Source organism: Homo sapiens, chromosome 6 (genome assembly GCF_000001405.40).
Source record: "Homo sapiens chromosome 6, GRCh38.p14 Primary Assembly".
NCBI classification, from domain to species: Eukaryota; Metazoa; Chordata; class Mammalia; order Primates; family Hominidae; genus Homo; species Homo sapiens.
This window is the reverse complement of record NC_000006.12, coordinates 122927933-122953939: the sequence shown is the minus strand read 5'-3', so window position 1 is coordinate 122953939 and position 26007 is coordinate 122927933. Positions and strand designations below refer to the sequence as shown.

Here is a 26007-nt window from a genome sequence, read left to right as displayed (position 1 = left end):
GTCGGAGGCCTCCCCTAGCTCCACACCACTCCTGGTTGGTTAGTTGTCCAGTCTTGTTCTTCTCCCATTCTCTGTGGGTTGCTTTGCTTCCTTGATGAATCCCAATGTGTTCCTCTGGATGTTCCAGTTGAAGAGCAAGTGTTTACTCACCACTCTCTTCTCTCTATGAGAGCAGCACACGCTAGCTACTTCTAGTTGCCTGTCTTGGCCAGAATCTCTACTCTCTGTTTCTATGAGTTAAACTTTTTAGATTCTGCATATTAGATCATGCAGTATTTATCTTTCTGTGTCTGACTTATTTCACTTAGTGTAATGTCTTCTGTGTTCATCCATGTTGTCACAAGTGACAGGAAATCCTTCTTTTTTAAGGCTGAATATTCCATTGTATATACATACCACAATTTCTTCATTCAGTCATCCATCAATGGACACTTAGGTTGTTTCCATATTTTGGCTATTGTGAATAATGCTGCATTGAACATGAGAGGCAGATATCTTTTTAAGATACTAACTCACTACTCTACTTTCTGCTTCTATGAGTGTGATGATTTTAGATACTTCATATAAGTGGAAACATAGTGTTTGTACTTTTATGACTTTCTCATTTCTCTTATCATAATGTCTTCAAGGTTCATTTATGTTGTAGCATATGATAGAACATTTCTTTTTCAAGGCTGAATAATATTCTCTTATATGTATATACCACATTGTCTTTAACTATTCATCCATTGACACTTAGGTTGTTTTTACCATTTTGCCTTTGCGAATAATGCAGAATAAACATAGGAGGACAAATGCCCCTTTGAGATCCTGTTTTCAACTTTTTGTACAAGTATCCAGAAGTAGGGTTGCTGGATCATGTGGTAGTTTTATTTTTAACTTTTTGAGGAACTTTTGTACTGTTTTCCATAGAAGCGGCCCCATTTTGTATTCCCACCAACAGTGCACAAGTATTCCAATTTCTCCACATCCTTACCAACACTTGCTATTTTCTGGTTGTTGTTTCTGTTCTTCTTGTTTTTGAATAATTGCTATCCTAACAGGTGTAAAGCCATATCCCACTGTGGTTTTGATTCGCATTTCACCTATGATGAGTGCTGAGCATCTTTTTATATACCTGTTGACCACTTGTAAGTCTATTTTGAAAAAAAAAGTCCTTTAAACATTTAAAGGCTTTTTTATATTGAGTTGTGGAAGTTTCTCATATATTTTGGATATTAACCCATCTTTCCTTTGCTGTGCAGAAGCTTTTAGTTTAAAGTAGTCTCACGTGTCTATTTTTGCTTTTGTTGCCTGTGCTTTTGCTGCCTGTGCCTTTGCTGTCATAATCAAGAAAGCATTCCCAACACCGGTGTAATGAAGCTTAAGTTTTTAATCCAATTCGAGTTGATTTTGTGTATGGTGTAAGATAAGGGTTCAATTTTGTTCTGTTTCATGTGGATATCCAATTTTCCCAGAACCATTTATTGAAGTATTGGGTGCTACATATTTTTTTCATTGTGTAGTTTTGGCATGCTTCTCAAAGGTCATTTGACTATATATATGTGGGTTTCTTTCTGATCCCTCTATTTTGTTTCATTTGCCTAAATATCTGTATTTATGCTAGGGTCATACTGTTTATAATACTATGGATTTATAATGTGTTTTGAAGCCAGAAGTGGTGAGGTCTCCAGTTTTGTTCTTTCTCAAGATTGGTTTGGCTATTCAATATCCTTTGTTGTTTCATATGAATATGATAATTTTTTCTCTTTTGGAAAAAAATTTCATTGGGATTTTGACAGAGATTGCATTGAATAGATTTATAATATGTTTTAAAGTCAGGAAGTTTGAGGCCTCCAGTTTTGTTTTTCTTTCTCAAGATTGTTTTAATTATTTGATTGTTTGTGGTTTCATATGAATATGAGATAGAGATTGCATTAAATCTGTAGATCACTTTGCATAGTGTGGACATTCTAACAATATTAATTCCTTCAACCCATCAATATGAGATGTATTTCCATTTACTTGAGACTTCTTTAGTTTTTTTCAGCAATGTTTTATAGTTCAGTGTATATATCTTTTGCCTACTGGTTAACTTTATTCGTAAGTATAAGTTGAAATATTCCTTCTGATGCTATTGTAAATGGGAATATTTCTTAATTTCCTTTTTGGCTTGTTTTTAGTGTATAGAAACACAACAGATTTTTGTGTGTTGATTTTGTATCCTGAAAATTTGCTGAATGTATTTATTAGTTTTAAAAATTTTTGGAGGATCTTTGAGTTTTCTACACATATCATCATGCCTTTTGAGAACAGACATAATTGTAAGTCTTTCTTTCTAATTTAGATGCCATTTATTTCTTTTTCTGGCCTAATTGTCCTGAGTAGGACTTCCAGTACTATGTTGAATAGAAGTGATGAGAGTGGGTATCCTTGTCTTGTTCCAGATCTTAGAGAAAAAGCTTTCAGTTTTTCTCCATTTAGTGTAATGTTAGCTGTGGGCTTTTCATATAAAGTCTTTATTATGCTGATCTGATTTTCTTCTATTCCTTATTTGTTAAGTGTTTTTTTATCATGAAAGAATATTGAATTTTGTCAGATGCTTTATCTGCATCTATTGAGATGATCAAATAATTTTTCTCCTTCTTTCTGTTAATGTGGTATATAACACTGATTGATTTTCATATGGTGAATTATCCTTGCATCCCAGGGATAAATCTCACAAGGTCATGGTGCATAATCCTTCTGATGTACTGTTGAATTCAACTTGCTATTATTTTATTGAGAATTTCTGCATCTACATTCATCAGGAATGAATAGTTTGATTGATTAATTGATTGATTGATTGACTGAATTATTGATTTCCTATAGTTTTCTTTTCTTGCAGTGTCTTTGTCTAGCTTTGGTATCTGGCTAATGCCAGCCACATAAAAGAAATTATGAAGGTTTCCCTCTTCTTAAACTTTTTTTAATAGTGTGAGGATTGGCAATAGTTATTTTTTAAATGTTTAGTAGAATTTGTCTGTAAATACATCTGGCCCTGGGCTTTTCTTTGTTGTGATATTTTTGATTCCTGATCAATCCCCTTACTAGTTATAGGTCTGTTAAGATCTTCTATTTTTTCAGTGTTCAGTTCTGGTAAGCTGTATGAGGAATTTATTCACTTCTAGATTACCTAATTCAATCACAAATAATTGTTCATCATAATTTATTGTAGTCCTTTTTATTTCTGTTGTATTGTCTCCTCTTTCGTTTCTTTTTTTAAATTTTCTTCCTACTTTCAAGCTAACAAGTTACCCTGTTTCATTTCTTATTTCATTTGTGTTTTCTTTTTCTCTTAATCAAACTAAAGCTTTTTCAATTCGTTGATATTTTCAAAAAACCAACTTTTAGTTTTGCTGATGTTTTGTTGTTTTTCTTTTTTTAATTTATACTGATCTAATCTTTATTATTTATTTCTTTGCTTTTGTTAACTTTGGGCTTAGTTTGTTTTTCTTGTTCCTCAAAATGTAAAGTTAGGTTGTTTATTCAAGATCTTTAAACTTTGTAAATGTAGGCACTTACTAGTATAAGCTCTCCTTTTAGAAATGCTTTTGCTGAATCCCACAATATTTTATATGTTTTGTTTTGGTTTTTTGTCTCAAGATATTTTCTACTTTGCCTTTTGATTTTGTGTTTGACTTATTGATTGTTCAAGAGTGTGTTGTTCAATTTTCATGTAATTATAAATTTTCTAGTTTTTCTTCTGTTACTGATTTCCAGTTTTATTTCACTGTGGTCAGAAAAGATACTTGATATGATGTCAATGTTCTTAATTTAAAACATGTTTTATAACCTAATGTGAGCTATATGGAAGAATGTTTCATGTGTGCTTGAGAATAATGTGTATTCTACTACCTTTGGGTGAAACATTCTGTATATGACCTGTAACATTGTTAAATGTTACATGTTAAATGTCCATTTGGCCTGTAACATTGTTAAAGTTCTATTTATTTTTTATTGATCTTCTGTATAGATGTTCTACCCACTATTGAAACTGAAGTATTGAAATCTTTTACTACTATTATTTTTCCCTACAATTCTGTCAATGTTTACTTCATATATTTGGGGACTCTGATGTTGGATGGATACATAATCATAACAGTTATACATTCCTGGTGAATTAACCCTTTAATTACTATATACAGTCCTTCTTTGTCTCTTGTGACAGTTTTCGATTTAAAGTCTATTTTGTTGGATATCAGTATGGCCACTACTGCCCTCAGTTGGTTGCCATTTGAATTAAATACCTTTTTCCATTGTTTAACTTTCGGCCTATACCTGCCTTAAATCTAAAGTGAGTTTCTTATAGACAGCATATGTTTGGATCTTGTTGTTTTAATCTACTCGGCCACCCTATGTCTTTTCACTGGGCACTTTAATCCATTTACTTTTAAAGTTATTACTGATAAAGAACTCACTATTGCCATTTTGTTAATTTTCTTTTGTTTATCTTGTAGCTCTTTAGTGCCTCTTTTCCTCTTTTACTCTTTTTATTGTGTGTTTCATGGATGTTTTATAGTGATATGCTTTGACTCTTCTCTCATTTTCTTTTGTATATCTTTTATAGGCATGTTCTTTGGGAATACCATATATTGTAACAATTTATTTTAAGCTGATAAAAACAACTTTAATTTTATACAAAACTCTACTTTTATTTATCCTCTTTACATTTTATGTTATTGATGTCACAAATTACATTTTAATATTGTGTGTCCATTAACCTATTTATATAGTTGTACTTATATTTTATATTTTTGCCCTTTAACTTTTATTCTAGAATTAAAAGTGACTTATGTACCATCATTATGGTATTATAGTATTCTGTGTTTGTCTATATATTTGCCAGAAAGCTTTATACTTTTATGTTTTATGTTGTTGTCTAGCATCCTTTCATTTCAACTTGAAAGACTTTGTTTAGAATTTCTTGCAAGGCAAGTCTAGTGATGATGAACTTCCTCAGCTTTTATTTATCTAGGAAAGTATTTTTTCTGTATCTTTGAAGGAAACTTTTGCCAGATATAGTATTCTTTGTTGGCAATTTATTTTTAAATTTCAGCACCTTGAATATGTCATCCCACCCCCTTCTGTCCTACGTGGTTTCTGCTAACAAACTGGCTTATGGGAGTTTCCTCATATGTGACAAATTGCTTTTCTCTTGCTGCTTTTAAAATTCTCTCATTCTTTGCTCTCTTGCTGCTTTTAAAATTCTCTTGTTCTTTGTCTTTGACTTTTGACAATTTGATTATCATGTGTCTTGGTGTGGAATTCTTTGCATTCATCTTAGTTGGAGGCTGTTGGGCTTCTTAAAACTGGAAGTCTATTTCTTTCCCCATATTTAGGATTTTTTCAGCTATTATTTCTTTAAGTAAGTTTTCTTACTCTTTTTCTCCTCTTCCTTTTTTTTTTTTAGAACTTCCGTAACACACGTATTGGTTAATTTGATAGTGTCCCATAGTTTTCAGACTAGATAATTTCAAATTATCTCTCCTTGAGTTTGCTGACTTTTCCAATTTTTTAAATTCAGTTATTATATTCCTCAGCTCCAAAATTTATTTGATTCTTTTTTATATTTCTTATCTCTTTTTAATATTCTCATTTTGTTCATAAATGATTTCCCTGAGCTTGTTGATTATCTTTATGAAAGTTATTTGAATTCTTTGTGAGGTAATTTATATCCCTTTGAGATATGGTTATCACCACCCAAATCTTATCTTGAATTGTAATCTCCATGTGTAGAGGGAGGTACCTGGTGATGGGATCATGGGGGTGATTTCCCCCATGCTGTTCTCATCATAGTGACTGAGTTCTCACAAGATCTGATGGTTTAAAAGTGTGCAGTGATTCCATCCCCTGCCCTGACTCCTGAAACCTTGTGAAGAAAGTGCCGGCTTCTCCTGTGCCATCTGCCATGCTTGTAAATTCTCTGAGGCCTCCCCAGCCATGAGGAACTGTGAGTCAATTAAAACTCTTTTCTTTATAAATTACCCAGTCTCAGGTAATTCTTTACAGCAGTGTGAAAATAGAATAATACACTTTGCATCTTCAGAGTCCATTTCCAGAGATTTATTTTGTTTCCTGATTGGGCCAGTTTTCCCTGTTTTTGTTTTGTTTTTTTTGTTGTTGTTTAATGTGCTTTTTAACTTTGTGCTGAGATCCACACATTTGGAAATACAGCCACCTCTCTCAGTCTTTATGACCTGACTGTACAGGGAAAGACCTTTACCAATCAACCAGGTTGAAGATTCTGGGAGCCTCTCAGACCTTTTCTGTGGATACTTACTCTCTGAACCTGTGCATGTAAATTGTCAATGAGGGGATTTTACTGGATTATTTTTTCAGGAGCTCATAATCTCTTGCTCCCCCTGGTGTCTGCAGTACTGCAGAGTCTCTGGGGTTTCCACAAGCCACCCAGTTTCTCCTTTGTTCTCAGCAGCCTCTATTCTTCTAGACTATGCCATGTCTAATCAGTGCTTTTAGTAGGGCAAGACAGAAGTCAGTCCTCTGGGAAGTTTCCTGTAAAACCAGAACTTTGGATGCACACTCCACTCTTCTCTTCCCCCTTTACCTCCTTGAGGGAGAGGGAACCAAGCTGTATCTCTCTCTCTCTGTCTGCTGTAACACAGGTCATCTGGAGGAGGAGCATGCCACCCAAACTCTCCTGTTTTCAGTGGCCCCAAGGCATTTAAAATATGCCAGATGGTCCCCTCAGTGCTTCAAGACAAGTGACACAGAAACCAGTACCCAAGGCGGTCCATCAAAAAAATGGAATATTGGATACATGTTCCAACTCTTTCACTCCCAAGGGAGAAGCCAGGAGTTGGCAGTTTTCTTTTACTCATTTCATGATAAGCCTGGGAGAGAGACTATTGCAAGTTAATGCAAGCTAACCCAAACCATTGCCTTTATTCTCAGTAGCCCCAAAACTGATGCCCTTTCCTGTCCGTGCTTAGATTCAGGCAAGATAGAAATCATCCCTCTGGAAGACCACCAAAATGTCTACACTTTAGACTATGTTCTAGTTCTAGTTTTCTCTTTCCTTCCCCAGAAAAAATATCTGGAAGGTGGAACTTTCCTCCCAACTGGACTGTGCTGTCCTGAGGGTGGGGATAGGAGACTATATTGAAAGGGTGATGCACTTTTCCTACCAGCTTCAATGTAGCTTGTGTCATGATCATCTGGTGTGCAGGAGCCTCTTAATTGATTTCTGAATTTCTCACAAAGGGAATTAGTTTATGTATATTGTTGAGTCAGTCTCAATGGGGCGAATGAGGTTTTAGGACATCCTATACTGCCATCTTACTCTAGCAGAACTGAGCTTTATTCATATATCCATCCACCCCTTTCATCCTCTGATTCTCAAGGGAATTGACTCCACCACCGGCTCCAGGGATAGATCTGACTGTTCAAAGGATCATTTCATCCTTTTTGCCAGCAATGAGATTGTGCTTAGGCCAACTTAATTCAAGGAAAGTGTTGCTTTTCCTATAGCATTCTGGAAAAGTCTGCCTTGCTCTTCTGAGAAAGCCTCCAGAAGCAATGATCTCCCCCATGTGAAAAAAGAAGCATGAAGCGATTGGAAGGTATTGTAGGGTCATGAAGAAACTGGTCTTATGATGAAGACAAAACTGTAAATGGCATCATAGAGAGACCAAAAGAAACTGAGTTCTTGATGACATGTTTTGTTTCTTGAAATAATCAAAGCTGAAGCCCACTATTAGCTTTGGATTTCTGGTAATGTGAATCCTTATTGAACAAATTTAAATCACATATTCTGATACTTACTAGCAAAAGTATATGGGATGAACTAGAGAATATCATTAACATCTCTGAAGCTTAGTTCTCTGATCTGTAGGGACTCAGCTATGATTTAATGTGATAATGTTTATAAAGCCTCTATCCACAGTGTCACAGACATTCAGTTCTAAATAGGTATTAGTTTCTTTTCCTTCTTTGAATACAGAGACTCAGCATTTCTTTATGCACACACCCTTAGACTTATCAAGGGGCATACTCCTTCTTTTTCATTTTCTAAGGTAAAAGCAAATAAATTTCACATAGCTCTCAAAAGGAAAGAGTACTATTCCTTTAGCAGAAAAATGTTTTTTTCTCTTTTGTTCCCAATAATAAGATTAGTCCAAATTTCTTTTCTATGTTCACCCCCTTACTCCAGCCCCAATTTTCTATGAAATTTTAAGTGGATATGCTTGAAATAACTGTTGTTTATTATGTTATAACAGTTGGAGTATGGGAACATATGATCGAGAACTGACAGTTTTTGTTGCAAGTCTAAGACCAGAAACAATGTTCTCCCAAACTCCACAAGCTATATTTGATCAGTAGTATTTACATAAAAGCAAAGGGGACTTCTGAGAGTGGAGCCAAGATGGCCGAATAGGAACAGATACAGTATACAGCTCCCAGCCTGGGTGATGCAGAAGACAAATGATTTCTGCATTTCCAACCGAGGTACCAGGTTCATCTCACTGGGGATTGTTGGACTGTGGGTGCAGGACAGTGGGTGCAGCCCACCGAGTGTGAGCCAAAGCAGGGCGAGGCATCGCCTCACCCTGGAAGCACAAGGGGTCAGGGAATTCCCTTTCCTTGCCATGGAAAGGAGTGACAGACAGCACCTGGAAAATCAGGTCACTCCCACCCTAATACTGCGCTTTTCCAACAGTCTTAGCAAACGGCACACCAGGAGATTGTATCCTGCACCTGGCCCGGAGGGTCCTACGCCCATGGAGCCTCACTCATTGCTAGCACAGCAGTCTGAGATCAAACTGCAAGGTGGCAGCGAGGCTTGGGGAGGGGCGCCCCCCATTGCTGAGGCTTGAGTAGGTAAACAAAGCAGCTGGGAAGCTTGAACTGGGTGGAGCCCACCTCAGCTCAAGGAGGCCTGCTGCCTCTGTAAACTCCACCTCTGGGGGCAGAGCATAGCCAAACAAAAGGGAGCAGAAACCTCTGCAGACTTAAATGTCCCTGTCTGACAGCTTTGAAGAGAGTAGTGGTTTTCCCAGCATGCAGCTTGAGATCTGAGAATGGACAGACTGCCTCCTCAAGTGGGTCCCTGACCCCTGAGTAGCCTCACTGGGACGGACCCCCCAGTAGGGGCAGACTGACACCTTACACGGCCGGGTACTCCTCTGAGACAAAACTTCCAGTGGAACGATCAGGCAGCAACATTTGCTGTTCACCAATATCCACTGTTCTGCAGCCTCTGCTGCCGATTGCCAGGCAAACAGGGTCTGGAGTGGGCCTCCAGCAAACTCCAACAGACCTGCAGCTGAGGGACCTGACTGTTAGAAGGAAAACTAACAAACAGAAAGGACATCCACACCAAAACCCCATCTGTACATCATCATCATCAAAGACCAAAGGTAGATAAAACCACAAAGATGGTGAAAAAACAGAGCAGAAAAACTGTAAATTCTAAAAATCAGAGCACCTCTCCTCCTCCAAAGGAACACAGCTCCTCACCAGCAATGGAACAAAGCTGGACAGAGAATGACTTTGACAAGTTGAGAGAAGAAGGCTTCAGATGATCAAACTACTCCGAGCTAAAGGAAGAAGTTCGAAACCACGGCAAAGAAGTTAAAAACCTTGAAAAAAGATTAGATGAATGGCTAACTAGAATAGCCAATGCAGAGAAGTCCTTAAAGGACCTGATGGAGGTGCAAAACACAGCATGAGAACTACGTGATGAATGCACAAGCCTCAGTAGCCGATTTGATCAACTGGAAGAAAGGGTATCAGTGATGGAAGATCAAATGGATGAAATGAAGCAGAAGAGAAGTTTAGATAAAAAAGAATAAAAAGAAATAAACAAACCCTCCAAGAAATATGGGACTATGTGAAAAGACCAAATCTACGTCTGATTGGTGTACCTGAAAGTGATGGGGAGAATGGAACCAAGTTGGAAAACACTCTGCAGGATATTATCCAGGAGAACTTCCCCAACCTAGCAAGGAAGGCCAACATTCAGATTCAGGAAATACAAAGAACACCACAAAGATACTCCTCAAGAAGAGCAACTCCAAGACACATAATTGTCAGATTCACCAAAGTTGAAATGAAGGAAAAAATGTTAAGGGCAGCCAGAGAGAAAGGTTGGGTTACCCACAAAGGGAAGCCCATCAGACTAACAGCGGATCTCTCAGCAGAAACTCTACAAGCCAGAAGAGAGTGGGGGCCAATATTCAACATTCTTAAAGAAAAGAATTTTCAACCCAGAATTTCATATCCAGCCAAACTAAGCTTCATAAGTGAAGGAGAAATAAAATACTTTACAGACAAGCAAATGCTGGGAGATTTTGTCACCACCAGGCCTGCCCTAAAAGAGCTCCTGAAGGAAGCACTAAACATGGAAAGGAACAACCAGTACCAGCCACTGCAAAAACATGCCAAATTGTAAAGACCATCGAGGCTAGGAAGAAACTGCATCAACTAACGAGCAAAATAACCAGCTAACATCATAATGACAGGATCAAATTCACACATAACAATATTAACCTTAAATGTAAGTGAGCTAAGTGCCCCAATTAAAAGACACAGACTGGCAAATTGGATAAAGAGTCAAGACCCATCAGTGTGCTGTATTCAGGAAACCCATCTCACGTGCAGAGACACAATTAGGCTCAAAATAAAGGGATGGAGGAAGATCTACCAAGCAAATAGAAAACAAAAAAAGGCAGGGGTTGCAATCCTAGTCTCTGCTAAAACAGACTTTAAACCAACAAAGATCAAAAGAGACAAACAAGGCCATTACATAATGGTAAAGGGATCAATTCAACAAGAAGAACTAACTATCCTAAATATATATGCACCCAATACAGGAGCACCCAGATTCATAAAGCAAGTCCTTAGTGACTTACAAAGAGACTTAGACTCCCACACAATAATAATGGGAGACTTTAACACCCCACTGTCAACATTAGACAGATCAACGAGACAGAAAATTAACAAGGATACCCAGGAATTGAACTCAGCTCTGCACCAAGCAGACCTAATTGACATCTACAGAACTCTCCACCCCAAGTCAACAGAATATACACTCTTTTCAGCACCACACCACACCTACTCCAAAATTGACCACATAGTTGGAAGTAAAGCACTCCTCAGCAAATGTAAAAGAACAGAAATTACAACAAACTGTCTCTCAGACCACAGTGCAATCAAACTAGAACTCAGTATTAAGAAACTCACTCAAAACCACTCAATTACATGGAAACTGAACAACCTGATCCTGAATGACCATTGGGTACATAACGAAATGAAGGCAGACATAAAGATGTTCTTTGAAACCAATGAGAACAAAGACGCAACATACCAGAATCTCTGGGACACATTCAAAGCAGTGTGTAGAGGGAAATTTATAGCACTAAATGCCCACAAGAGAAAGTAGGAAAGATCTAAAATTGACACCCTAACATCACAATTAAAAGAACTAGAGAAGCAAGGGCAAACACATTCAAAAGCTAGCAGAAGGCAAGAAATAACTAAGATCAGAGCAGAACTGAAGGAAATAGAGACACAAAACCCTTCAAAAAAATCAATGAATGCAGGAGCTGGTTTTTTGAAAAGATCAACAAAATTGATAGACCGCTAGCAAGACTAATAAAGAAGAAAAGAGGGAAGAATCAAATAGACGCAATAAAAAATGATAAAGGGGATATCACCACCGATCCCACAGAAATACAAACTACCATCAGAGAATACTATAAACACCTCTATGCAAATAAACTAGAAAATCTAGAAGAAATGGATAAATTCCTCAACACATACACCCTCCCAACACTAAACCAGGAAGAAGTTGAATCCCTGAATAGGCCAATAACAGGCTCTGAAATTGAGGCAATAATTAATAGCCTACCAATCAAAACAGTCCCGGAACAGACGGATTCACAGCCGAATTCTATCAGAGGTACAAGGAGGAGCTGGTACCATTCCTTCTGAAACTATTCCAATCAATAGAAAAAGAGGGAATCCTCCCTAACTCATTTTATGAGACTAGCATCATCCTGATACCAAAGCCTGGCAGAGACACAACAAAAAAAAGAGAATTTTAGACCAATATCCCTGATGAACATCGATGCAAAAATCCTCAATAAAATACTGGCAAACCGAATCCAGCAGCACATCAAAAAGCTCATCCACCATGATCAAGTGGGCTTCATCCCTGGGATGCAAGGCTGGTTCAACATACCAAATCCATAAACATAATCCGTATATAAACATAATCCATATATAAACATAATCCGTATATAAACATAATCAGTATATAAACAGAACCAATGACAAAAACCACATGATTACCTCAATAGATGCAGAAAAGGCCTTTGACAAAATTCAACAACCTTCATGCTAAAAACTCTCAATAAATTATGTATTGATGGGATGTATCTCAAAATAATAAGAGCTATCTATTACAAACCCACAGCCAATATCATACTGAATAGGCAAAAACTGGAAGCATTCCCTTTGAAAACTGGCACAAGACACGGATGCCCTCTCTTACCACTCCTATTCAACCTAGTGTTGGAAGTTCTGGCCACGGCAATCATGCAGAAGAAGGAAATAAACGGTATTCAATTAGGAAATGAGGAAGTCAAATTGTCCCTGTTTGCAGATGACATGATTGTATATCTAGAAAACCCCATCATCTCAGCCCAAAATCTCCTTAAGCTGATAAGCTTCAGCAAAGTCTCAGGATACAAAATCAAAGTGCAAAAATCACAAGCATTTCTATACGCAAATAACAGACAAACAGAGAGCCAAATCATGAGTGAACTCCCATTCACAATTGCTTCAAAGAGAATAGAATACCTAGGAATCCAACTTATAAGGGATGTGAAGGACCTCTTCAAGGAGAACTACAAACCACTGCTCAAGGAAATTAAAGAGGATACAAACAAATGGAAGAACATTCCATGCTCATGGGTAGGAAGACTCAATATTGTGAAAATGGCCATACTGCTCAAGATAATTTATAGATTCAATGCCATCCCCATCAATCTACCAATGACTTTCTTCACAGAATTGGAAAAAATTACTTTAAAGTTCATATGGAACCAAAAAAGAGCCCGCATTGCCAAGTCAATCCTAAGCCAAAAGAACAAAGCTGGAGGCATCACGCTACCTGACTTCAAACTATACTACAAGGCTACAGTAACCAAAACAGAATGGTACTGGTACCAAAACAGATATACAGACCAATGGAACAGAACAGAGCCCTCAGAAATAATGCCACATATCTACAACCATCTGATCTTTGACAAATCTGACAAAAACAAGAAATGGGGAAGGGATTCCTTATTTAATAAATGGTGCTGGGAAAACTGGCTAGCCATATGTAGAAAGCTGAAACAGGATCCCTTCCTTACACCTTATACAAAAATTAATTCAAGATGGATTAAAGACTTAAATGTTAGACCTAAAACCATAAAAACCCTAGAAGAAAACCTAGGCCACACCATTCAGGACATAGGCATGGGCAAGGACTTCATGTCTAAAACACCAAAAGCAATGGCAACAAAAGACAAAATTGACAAATGGGATCTAATTAAACTAAAGAGCTTCTGCACAGCAAAAGAAACTACCATCAGAGTGAACAGGCAGCTTATAGAATGGGAGAAAATTTTTGCAATCTACTCATTGGACAAAGGGCTAATATCCAGAATCCACAATGAACTCAAACAAATTTACAAGAAAAAAACAAACAACCCCATCAAAAAGTGGGCGAAGGATATGAACAGACACTTCTCAAAAGAAGACATTTATGCAGCCAAAAGACACATGAAAAAATGCTCATCATCACTGACCATCAGAGAAATGCAAATCAAAACCACAATGAGATACCATCTCATACCAGTTAGAATGGCGATCATTAAAAAGTCAGGAAACAACAGGTGCTGGAGAGGATGTGGAGAAATAGGAACACTTTTACACTGTTGGTAGGACTGTAAACTAGTTCAGCCATTGTGGAAGTCAGTGTGGCGATTCCTCAGGGATCCAGAACTAGAAATACCATTTGACCCAGCCATCCCATTACTGGGTATATACCCAAAGGATTATAAATCATGCTGCTATAAAGACACATGCACATGTATATTTATTGCAGCACTATTCACAATAGCAAAGACTTGGAACCAACCCAAATGTCCAACAATGATAGACTGGATTAAGAAAATGTGGCACATATACACCATGGAATACTATGCAGCCATAAAAAATGATGAGTTCATGTCCTTTGTAGGCACATGGATGAAGCTGGAAACCATCATTCTCAGCAAACTATTGCAAGGACAAAACACCAAACACTGCATGTTCTCACTCATAGGTGGGAATTGAACGATGAGAACACATGGACACAGGAAGGGGAACATCACACACTGGGGCTTGTTGTGGGGTGGGGGGAGGGGGAGGGATAGCATTAGGAGACATACCTAATGTTAAATGACGAGTTAATGGGTGCAGCACACCAACATGGCACATGTATACATATGTAACAAACTGGCATGTTGTGCACATGTACCCTAAAACTTAAAGTATATAAAAAAAAAAAAAGCAAAGGGAAAAATGTGCTACCATGGTAGATACTGGACCAGACCATTGGGTCTAAGTCAGCCAAAAATACATGTATGCATATGCAAAAGTAGTGGCAGACTTGAGGTCTGCAGATCATCATTTGTAGTTCAAAAAAGCAATTGGTTTAGCAACTTTCACCCTGCAAATTGTGATTTAAACTTTCATCTTTTTTCTTAAGAGACCTTGGAGTATGAATCAGATGAACACTGTGCCATGTAATAAGCTAGAGCAGATTTAATCTGATAAAACAAAAATTGAGTATTTCATGTCCACCTGTGAAAGATTTGTGCATTTATGAACTATATCATTTATGTGATTTGTGAAGTCATTGGATAAATGACACCAATACAAATAGGGTTCATTGTGTAACATACAGCAGATTTCTAATTTTGTGTGTTGTCAGGCAGTGTTTATGGTACTTTAAAATTTCCACACAGCTGGTGACAAATTATAATTGAAGAGACAGCTAGCTCTAATATAACTCTACTATAGATTTTTGCTCTTCAGAACACATTATCAAAGCCATTTTTACCAACTTAACACACATCACTGCCCTTCACATGTGGATTTAGCTGCCTTCAATTTATTTTTACTTCCCCTGCCTATATTTTCTTTCTACTTGCTCAAGTATCTGTGTTTTTCCTAACCACTGGGCTAAATCAGCACCATGGAGCAAATTTTAAAGTATTGAACATAAGAGTTACACTATTTTAAGTGGCATCAATGAAAGCAGTTTGGGACTACATAGTTTCAAGCAATATTGGTTATATTGCTTTTTAATCCATCAATGTCCATAGCTTTTACAGTGTACCAAAAACCCTGTGGGAAAAAAAGCATACAAATCTAAAGCAAAAAGTTCTGATTCAATAATACATTGAGCTGACTGCTCCCTATATGTAACTGTTTGCTGCTAATAAGACACTGTAAGAAGTTCATTAACTGTTTGAGACTGTCTAATTGCAATCCACAAAAGACTGTATGCTTATCTTGCATGTGAATAGCTGTTCCTGCAATAAGTTATTAATTTATATTTGTTTTACGTATTTTACTCTTTATCAAACTTATCTTCTAGATATTTTATATAAGCATCCAGTTCAGGAGCAAAAGGCTATAATAGATGGATTAACAATTAACATAACTTAAATAATTTCTATCAACTAGAATATTTATTGAATACTTTAGCACAAGGCTAACTTGGAAAAAGAATAAAAATTAAAAGGCACAGTTTTTTTCTAGGGTTTAATTGAGAAAAAAAATAAAAGTTGTGAGTCAGGCACAGTGGCTTGCACCTGTAGTCCCAGCTACCAGGGAGGCTAAGGTTGGAGGATCGTGTCAGCCTAGGAGTTAAGGCTGCAATGAGGAATGATCATGCCACTGCACTCCAGCCTGGGTGACAGAGAGAGACCCTGTTTCTAAAAATAATAATAATAAAAGTTATGGACATGCACACACATACATGTATTATATAGTGCTATAATATATAGTTATATATCATACATAGTTATACAAATATATATTATTTTTATATTATATAACACTTTTAAATACATGTAATACATCTTATGTTTACATATATATTGATATGTATACATATGTATTACATATATATGTTTAATGTACATAAAACAAATATACAATGAATATTATATAATATACATTATGTTGTATATAATGATATCACTATGTATATGACAAAGTATCAAAATTGAATTATTTTATTCATTCAGTCAACAAACATTCTGGGTGTAGAACAAAGCTTGGCACACTTTCTGTAAAGAGTCAAACAGTACATACTTTAGGCTTTGCCGGCCATATAGCCTCTATTGGAACCATTCTACTGTCCAGATGTACAATATAAATGAAGGGTGTGGCTGTGATCCAATAAAACAGAAATTCTTTCTGCGACTGTAAGGGTCTGTGTGACCCAGCCTTTTGTTTGCCTTTATCATTGAATCTTTGCTGTCCGCAGGCACAGGGACTTCTTGTTGGCAACCACCACAACAGGGCTTAGTACTTGTTTCCACCTGCAATCCTCCCTCCGCCAGATATCTGCATGACTTGTTTCTTTCATATATCACCTTCTGAGTGAGTTCTTTCTGACCATGTTATCTAATACTATAACATGTCACACCAAAACCTCCCAACAGTCTTGTCCAATACTTTATAAAACATGGCCCTGATTTAGCCAGGGGTGAGGAAAAACACGAACACTGGATCAAGAATGTCTGGGTTGAATTCTAGTTCTTTTCATTTGCTGGCTATATGACTTTAGGCCAATTATTTTATCTCTCTGTGGCTTATTTTTTCTTTATAATGTGGACATACCAATAATATATATCTCATAGGACTGTTCTGAGGTAATTAGTTAATATATATAAATATATAAAAAATATATATACATAAAATGCTTAGCGCAGTGTCTGGCGCTTATTCTCATAGGATGGTTAGCTACTATTACTACCCTTTGCTAGAATATAAACTCCATGAAGAGATATGCATCTTCTCTGGTCACCATTGACTTCTTAGTATCTAGAGCAGTGACTGTTACAGAGTAAGTGCCAAATTATTATTGAACTGAATGAAATTTCTAAAACGATAGAGAAATCTAAAAAAAAATCCAACACAAGGCAGAGAAACAAGGCAGAGAAGTAGACAAGTAACAAAAGAAAAAAATATATGAGAAACAGAAAATAGGTTGCAGAAATAATTCCAATCATTAAACATTAATTACAGTCATTAGCTTCAATATATGAAAATGAATTAAATCTATTTTAAAATAAACAGATTTCATGGTTCAATTTAAAAAAAAAAAACCCAGCAGTATCATGCTGACAAGAGACATGCTTAGAAAACTCACACACATGCATACATAAATCACAGAGATTGAACATAAAATTAAGGGAGAGACTATGTCTTGCAAAAACTAGCCAAGAACTTTAGAGACCAAGAAGAGGGGCAAGAGAGAAGGAGGTGAGGGATGAAAAGCAACATACTGAATACAATCTACACTACTTGGATGACAGGTGCACTAAAATCTCAGACTTCACCACTATAAAATTCATCCATGTGACCAAAAACCACCTGTACCCACAAAGCTATTGAAATTATATACATAAACCAACCAAGAGAAAGTTCAGGTAGAATGTTAATTGTAGATAAGATACAAGTTAAGGCAAAATTCATTAAAAGAGATAAATACATAAAAGTATAATTCCACTAAAAAGATATAACAATGATGATCTTGTATGTACCTAAGAGACATATGCAAAAATTTTTATTGTAGCACTATTTATAATAGCAAAAATATGGTTTGTTTATTTAAAAACCATGAGATAAGAAACAAATTCAAATTTTAAAAATATAACTTTATATGCCACATTTGTAAAATATGTAGATAGACTTATATTTGCAAAGAAAAAGAAACTACATAGAATTCATCAGACATTGAACATTTGCTATTTCTAAATGGTAGAATACCAGGTGATTTTAGTTCTTATGTTCCTTTTTTTAAATTTATCTTTCCTAACTTTACATACTGGACATCACATATAAGTTTTTAAGTAAGAAAATAAATAATTTTTAATTAAAAGGTTTACCAGCAAACCATGGAAATTTATTCTCATCTATCATATATATATATATATCATGATGTGTATATATGCCTCATATATATATGTATATATATATATATATATATATGCATCGTGACATCAATATTAACTTTTGTTTAGTGGGAGCACTGCTTATTAGAGTGCTTATAAAACTACTATTGTCAATTGAATTTTGGACACATTCAAATGTTTCTATTTCTTGATGTCTCTAACCTTAGTTAGGTACAGCAATTTTAGCCATAAACAAATAGTAGAAATTCTTCACATATTTGTTGAGAACATAAATATTCATTAGTATGTCTTATTTAACCCTTCAGGGTAACTTCAGTCTATATCACTACTCACCAATTCCAAGTTCTCAGCTTCTACACTCCAACTTTGCAGTGATGCAGGCATGTTATTTATGCTTTCATACATATATTCTATATATTTGAAATAATATGAAAACCCCCTGCTGTCATTATCACTCAAAACATTTCACACAATGCCACAGGAGTAATGGTTTGAAAAGGAATAAAACAAATATTTTTATATTAAATTTATATTATATAAATTATTATTTAAATTATTTTATAAATAAATAAAGGATTTCTGTTGTTACATTTTAAAGATCTAAACAGAAATTTCTGCCTGATTTTTTAAATCTTTTTTTTTTGTTATACATTAAGTTTTAGGGTACATGTGCACATTGTGCAGGTTAGTTACATATGTATACATGTGCCATGCTGGTGCACTGCACCCACTAACTCGTCATCTAGCATTAGGTATATCTCCCAATGCTATCCCTCCCCCTCCCCCCACCCCACAACAGTCCCCAGAGTGTGATATTCCCCTTCCTGTGTCCATGTGATCTCATTCTTCAATTCCCACCTATGAGTGAGAATATGTGGTGTTTGGTTTTTTGTTCTTGCGATAATTTACTGAGAATGATGATTTCCAATTTCCATCCATGTCCCTACAAAGGACATGAACTCATCATTTTTTATGACTGCATAGTATTCCATGGTGTATATGTGCCACATTTTCTTAATCCAATCTATCATTGTTGGACATTTGGGTTGGTTCCAAGTCTTTGCTACTGTGAATAATGCCGCAATAAACATACGTGTGCATGTGTCTTTATAGCAGCATGATTTATAATCCTTTGGGTATATACCCAGTAATGGGATGGCTGGGTCAAATGGTATTTCCAGTTCTAGATCCCTGAGGAATTGCCACACTGACTTCCACAATGGTTGAACTAATTTACAGAAATGGCAACAAAAGACAAAATTGACAAATCAGATCTAATTAAACTAAAGAGCTTCTGCACAGCAAAAGAAACTACCATCAGAGTGAACAGGCAACCTACAAAATGGGAGAAAATTTTCGCAACCTACTCATCTGACAAAGGGCTAATGTCCAGAATCTACAATGAACTCAAACAAATTTACAAGAAAAAAACAAACAACCCCATCAAAAAGTGGGCGAAGGACATGAACAGACACTTCTCAAAAGAAGACATTTATGCAGCCAAAAAACACATGAAAAAATGCTCATCATCACTGGCCATCAGAGAAATGCAAATCAAAACCACAATGAGATACCATCTCACACCAGTTAGAATGGCAATCATTAAAAAGTCAGGAAACAACAGGTGCTGGAGAGGATGTGGAGAAATAGGAACACTTTTACACTGTTGGTGGGACTGTAAATCTTTTTTTTAAATGCCATTGTTATTGTCGCACTAAAGGGAGATATTCTACACTCGTGAGTGGTACTTTCTTAGTAACTTCAGGTGTTTGCATAGGTTCTCTAGCTCTGTCTCACATTCTGTCTCTTAGATTCTGTCTTCCTGTCTCTGTGGTGTGTGTGTGTATCTCCTTCTCTTTCCCACCCTTGTTCTCAGACCTTGGGCTAGTCTTGCACTAAAGGAAAGAGAGAAGCACTAAATTGCAAGTAAAATTAGAATTTTGAATTAGACTAGATTTTAGGTTTCAATATCTGCAAATAACTGAAAAGCAATGTAATCTTCTCAAAATGCTGAGACAGGGTAGGAAAGATTGATTCTACAATATTTAATTAATTGGTGGTGTTAAGATTGAAAAACCCTGTTTCTTGGTGGTACCCTGCTGAGTTCAATCCATGTAAGAAATCAGTTTAAATTTATTCCTGAACTCTGAATTATTCATCAACAGCCCTGTCCAGGTCTTGTTCACTGTGCCTTATGAGGTCTTTGTTTCATGAGGGCTTTCAGGTTGACACGAGGCCTAAAGATCTCTCCTGCAGTCTTAAGGAATCTAACCTGTATTCTCTGTGGTCAACTGCTTTACAAACTCACAGCGGACAAGAGCCATCTGTAAGTTTATACAAAACAGGGTAGCCTAAATCCAGCCATGGAAAGGACCATTTGTCTATGGGTAAAAGACTCTAAGAGATGAACTCTGTATCATGGGTAACTTTTCTTATTGTGAGGAGCGGTTTAGTGCCTACTAGCCATTAAAACCTCAATCTTTTCTAAACGAAGAGAGTCTTTGCTGTATATTTGTGTCACTGGGGTAATTTTTCCAATAGAAAAGAATAGATGAAGTCATCTGCCCAAAGGTGAAGTCATCTCAAATTACAGGTGTTTGTTCATTTCTGCCTTCATAATCAGAGGCAAGTAAGTTACATTTCCATTTTGCACGTATGTCTGTTATTTTTCATATCTTCCTTGTCTCAGAACTTCTCCACTACCACTTCCACTGAAACAAGGGAAGGAGCACTTTCTTTGTATGACTTTTAAGAAGGGCATAACATAGAGAAAGATAGTGGGTTTTTAATGCAAGCATATTATTCTTTACTCATTAATGAATTTCACAGTATTTATCAAGTCTTACCCAGTTCCAGACCTATGACCTGGGATACAGTTGTAAGCATGATACTATTGCTTCTCTTTACTGAGCTGTAGTACAAGAGAGACCCAGATAAGTTGAGAGGAGATTACAGAGCACTCTCACAGGCTTGGTACCCAGGGCTGTCTACCACTTGCTAGTTAACTGACTTTAATTAGGTGACTTTCCATTTCTCAACCTCAGTTTCCTTTGCCTGCCCAAGTCATGCCACCTTTACCTGTCCTGGCATCACTGTTTCACCCCTGGACTTCCCAAGTCTGTTCAATCTCCACCCACAACTTTTCCTGTTATAATGCCAGGTGTTTTTTCACAACAGAGGAATAGGGGGTGTGCCGAGAACAGTGAAAAGTATTACAGACTTTGAGGACGGAGAGTCTCAGGGGTGAATGTCAAATCTAAGAAGGAAACAAATCAGCTGACAAGATTGACTCAGGCATAGAGTTCTAGAAATAACCAGCATTTTAGAATAGTTAAGAACAATGGTTAGTAACAATGCTCAGAGCAAAAGGCCTGGGTTACTATAAGCCAAGTAAAGAGGTTATAATAATAGTTTCTGGAAGTATACTGAGACAGATCTCCTGAGGGAAAGTCAATCTAATGTTTTTATACAGAGAAAAAAATGTGCTGAAGAATAAAAATATAATGCCAAGCTATACAAATTGCATATTAGCTTATTCTACCTCCTGTGAGTCATGTAGGAAACCCTAAGAATTATGTAACCTCAAAAAAGATGACTTTTGAAATACATAAGTTAGAAACCTCAGCCCTCTCACCACAACACACACACACATACACACAATTTAGCATGATTAATGAGATTAAATATATTTACAAAGGAAAATTAGTTTTTATGGGACAGACACATTATTTTTCCAGAATAAAAGTTAGTTCTACATTCCAGAAAATCATTTTAGTATTATTTTCAACAAACTTTATCTGTAATGAATGAAAATAATTTATCATTTCACACATGTCAAGAAAGGAAGGGGGTTCACTTTTCCTCAAACTTTGCACTTTGAATAAATATTACAAAATTGATTAACATGTAAGTGTTAAGTGCTCTTTATAAACCTCTTGACTTTGATCGAAGAATACAAATTGAACAGAGTTCTAAGTGTATATGGTGTGTTACAGGAGCCCCCCAGGGAAGGCTAGCATTAAGGAGCACTCAGCACTTACTAGGTTACCAGTTGTGCTTATTGAGATTAGATACTTCGGTACATAATCATACATATAATGTAGGTTTCATTAATAGTAATGGCCCAAAGCATTTACCCACACCTGATCATGGAGCATTTCAGCTCCCTTACAAAATGTTCCCAAGCCCCACCTATCCAAGTTTCCTGAGTGTCTCACATGTTCCCACTAGCATCACCTTTCTCCCACACAGTATGCATGGAAAACCACCGTATTTCTCAAGGGTTAGCTGTCTCCACCAAAGGAGGAATCTGCATCTTTAAAATGCCAAATTTCCATAGTAATCTGATGTTAAATAGGGAAAAATTCATCCTTCCTTTAGGTTTTCTTACTAAGTCAGTTTTTTTCTCATGCATTATTCCTTTAGCTCTCAGGATGAATTACCACACATGAAAATGGACTTCCATAAGATTGGACTTCCCTCCCAATTCTTCAGAAATGCCCATATATGCTTATTTCTAGATGTGAATACAGTTTAGGCTGAAACTGGAATTTCTACTATATTATTCAAAATCAATACTGCACTAAGTTACTTAAACTATATTTTTTTTAAAAGAAAGGAATGATAGAAGGGGGCAAGATGACATATTAGAAGCAGCTGCAGTCCACAGTTATCACGGAGAGAAATGAAAGTGGTGAGTGAATTCAGTACCTTCAACTGAAATATTCAGGTTCTCACATTGGGACTGACTAGGCAAACAGCTAGACCCACAGAGAACAAAGAAAAGCAGGTGGGGCAAAGACCTGCCAGAAAGTGACAATGGAGCCAAAGGAACCCCTACCCCCAGCCAAGAGAAGTGGTGAATGATTGTGTGACCCTACCTGGGAAGCCACACTTCTCCCAGGGATCTTTGCAACCCATGAATCAGGAGATCCTCTTGTGAGCCCACACCACCAGGGCCTTGGGTCTGATACACAGAGCTGTGCAGAGTCTCAGCAGAGCAGTCACTCATGTTCACATAGAGATAACCCAGGAGTTTTAGACTCCCACCTTGGGAATCCTGACAAATCAGGAGATCCTTCTGTATATTCCCCTAGGAAGGGGGCTGAATGCAGGGATCCAAGCAGCATTGTTCTGTGGGCCCCACTTCCATGGCACCTCACAAGTTAAGACCCACTGGCTTGAAATTCCAGCCAACTAGTGCAAGAGGTTGGAGACTGCCTGAGATAGACAAGTTTCTGTGGGTAGGGGTGGCCACTATTTCTGTGGTTAGGTCAACTCGGCTATTTTAGCCTGCTGGCTCTGGGGAGTCTAGGCGGTCTGAATAAGGAGGAGTCCCCAACAAGAGCTGCTGTGCCAGATCATGGCCAGACTGCTTCTTTAAGTGGGACCCCAATGCATCCCTCCTCACTGGACAGGTACCCCCTGTGGGAATTTCAGCAACTCCAGCCAGGGTTATATGACAGAACTCTGATCTCTCCCTGGGATGGAGCCCCAGGGGTTGCGGGGGGTTGGGGGGTGAAGGAGAGGGGCCAATGTCTCTGTGGTTCAGTCAACTCTGGCTTTCCAGCCTGCTGGCTCTGGAGAGTCCAGGTGTTCTGGACAAGGAAGGGTTCCCCTCAATGCAGCACACCTGCTCTACCAAAAAGCAACCAGACTGCTTCTTTAAGCAGGTTTCTGATCCTGTCTCTCCTGACTGGGTGAGACCTCCCAATAGGGGTCTCCAGACACCTCCTATAGGAGTGTCCAGGCCTGCAACAGGTCAGTATACCCCTGGGATGGAGCTCCCAGAGGAAGGAGCAGGCTGCCATCTTTGCTGTTTTGTGGCCTTCATTGGTGATACTCCAGGTAAGGGAAAAACCCAGGCAACTAGGGTCTGAAGCAATCCCCCAGGAAACCAAGCAGCTCTATGGAAGAATGGCCTGACAATTAAAAGGAAAACAAACAAACAGAAAGCAACAACAACATCAACAAAAACGACACCTCAAGTCCAGTTCAAAGGTTAGCAACCTCAAAGATCAAAGGTAGATAAGCCCACAAATATTAGAAAGAATCAACACACAAAATCACTGAAAAGTCAAACAGCCAGAGGGCCTCTTCTTCTCCAAATGACCACAACATCTATCCAGCAAGGACACAGAAATGGACTGATGCTAAGATGGCTGCACTGACAGAAGTAGGCTTCAGAAGGTGAGTAATAACAAACTTTACTGAGGTAAAGGAGTATGTTGTAACCCAATGCAAACAAGCTAAGAGCTGATAATCAGAATAGTCAGTTTAGAGAGCAGCATAACTGATTTTATGGAGCTGGAAAACATAGCATGAGAACTTCACAATGCAATTACAAGTATCAACACCAGAATAAAACAAGCAGAGAAAACAATCTCAGAATGTGAAGATTATCTTTCTGAAATGAGAGAGGCAGACAAAATGACAAAAATGAATAAAAAGGAACAAACAAACCTCCAAGAAACATGAGATTATGTAAAAAAGACCAAAGTTACAAATGATTGGGGTACCTGAAAGAGATGGGGAGAACAAAAGCGAGTCAGAAAACATTCTTCTATCATCCAGAAGAACTTCCCCAACATAGCAAGACAGGCCACCATTCAAATTCGGGAAATCCAGAGAACCCCAGTAAGATACTCTACAAGAAGATCAAATGCAAGACACATAACTACGAGATTCTTCAAGGTCGAAATAAAGGAAAAAAATGTTAAGGGCAGCCAGAGAGAAAGGCCAGATCACCTACAAAGGGAAGCCCATCAGACTAACAGTGGACCCCTACAAGCCAGAAAAGATTGGGGGCCAATATTCAACATTCTCAAATAAAAGAATTTTCAACCCAGAATTTCATATCTGACCAAACTAAGTTTCATAAGTGAAGGAGAAATAAGATCCTTTTCAAACAAGCAAATGCTGAAGGAATTCATCACCAGCATGGCTGCCTTGCAAGAGCTCCTGAAGGAAGCACTAAATATGGAATGGAAAAATCATCACCAGCCACTACAAAACCACACTGAAGGACACAGACCAGTGACCACATGAAGCAACCACATAAACAAGTCTGCAAAATAGCCAACTAGCATTATAATGACAGTATCAACTTCACACAGAAAAATATTAACCTTAAATGTAAAGGGGCTAAATGTCCCAATTAAAAGACATAATTTGGCAAGCTGTATAGAGTCAAGACTCATTGGTATGCTGTGTTCAAAAGACCCATCTCACATGCAAAGACACACATAGGCTCAAAATAAAGCAGTGGAGGAAAGTTTACCAAGCAAATGGAAAACAGAAAAAAGCAGGGGTTGCAATTCTAGTTTGTGAAAAAAAAACAGACTTTAGACCAACAAAGATCAAAAAAGACAAAGGGCATTACATAATGGAAAAGGGTTCAATTCAACAAGAAGAGCTAACTATCCTAAATATATATGCACCCAATACAGGGGAACGCAAATTCATAAAGCAAGTTCTCAGAGACCTACAAAGAGATTTAGACTCCCACACAATAATAGTGGGAGACTTTAACACCCCACTGACAATATTAGACAGATCATCAAAACAGAAAATTAACAAAGATATTCAAAACCTGAAATCAGCTCTGGATCAAGTGGACCTAACAGATATCTACAGAACTCTCCATCCAAAAACAACAGAATATACATTCTTCTCATTGCCACATAACACTTACTCTAAAATTGATCACATAATTGGAAGTAAAACACTCCTCAGCAAATGCAAAGGAACTGAAATCATAAGTCCCTCAGATCACAGGGCA

At 37.3% G+C, this 26007-nt stretch overlaps 1 annotated feature.

Moving 5' to 3' along the window:
• Positions 22833-22882: an enhancer, noted in NCBI's record as "active region_25022". NCBI's record gives its function as "activates an Ori minimal core promoter by ATAC-STARR-seq in GM12878 lymphoblastoid cells {active_cell/tissue: GM12878}" and the evidence as "EXISTENCE:reporter gene assay evidence [ECO:0000049][PMID:35858748]".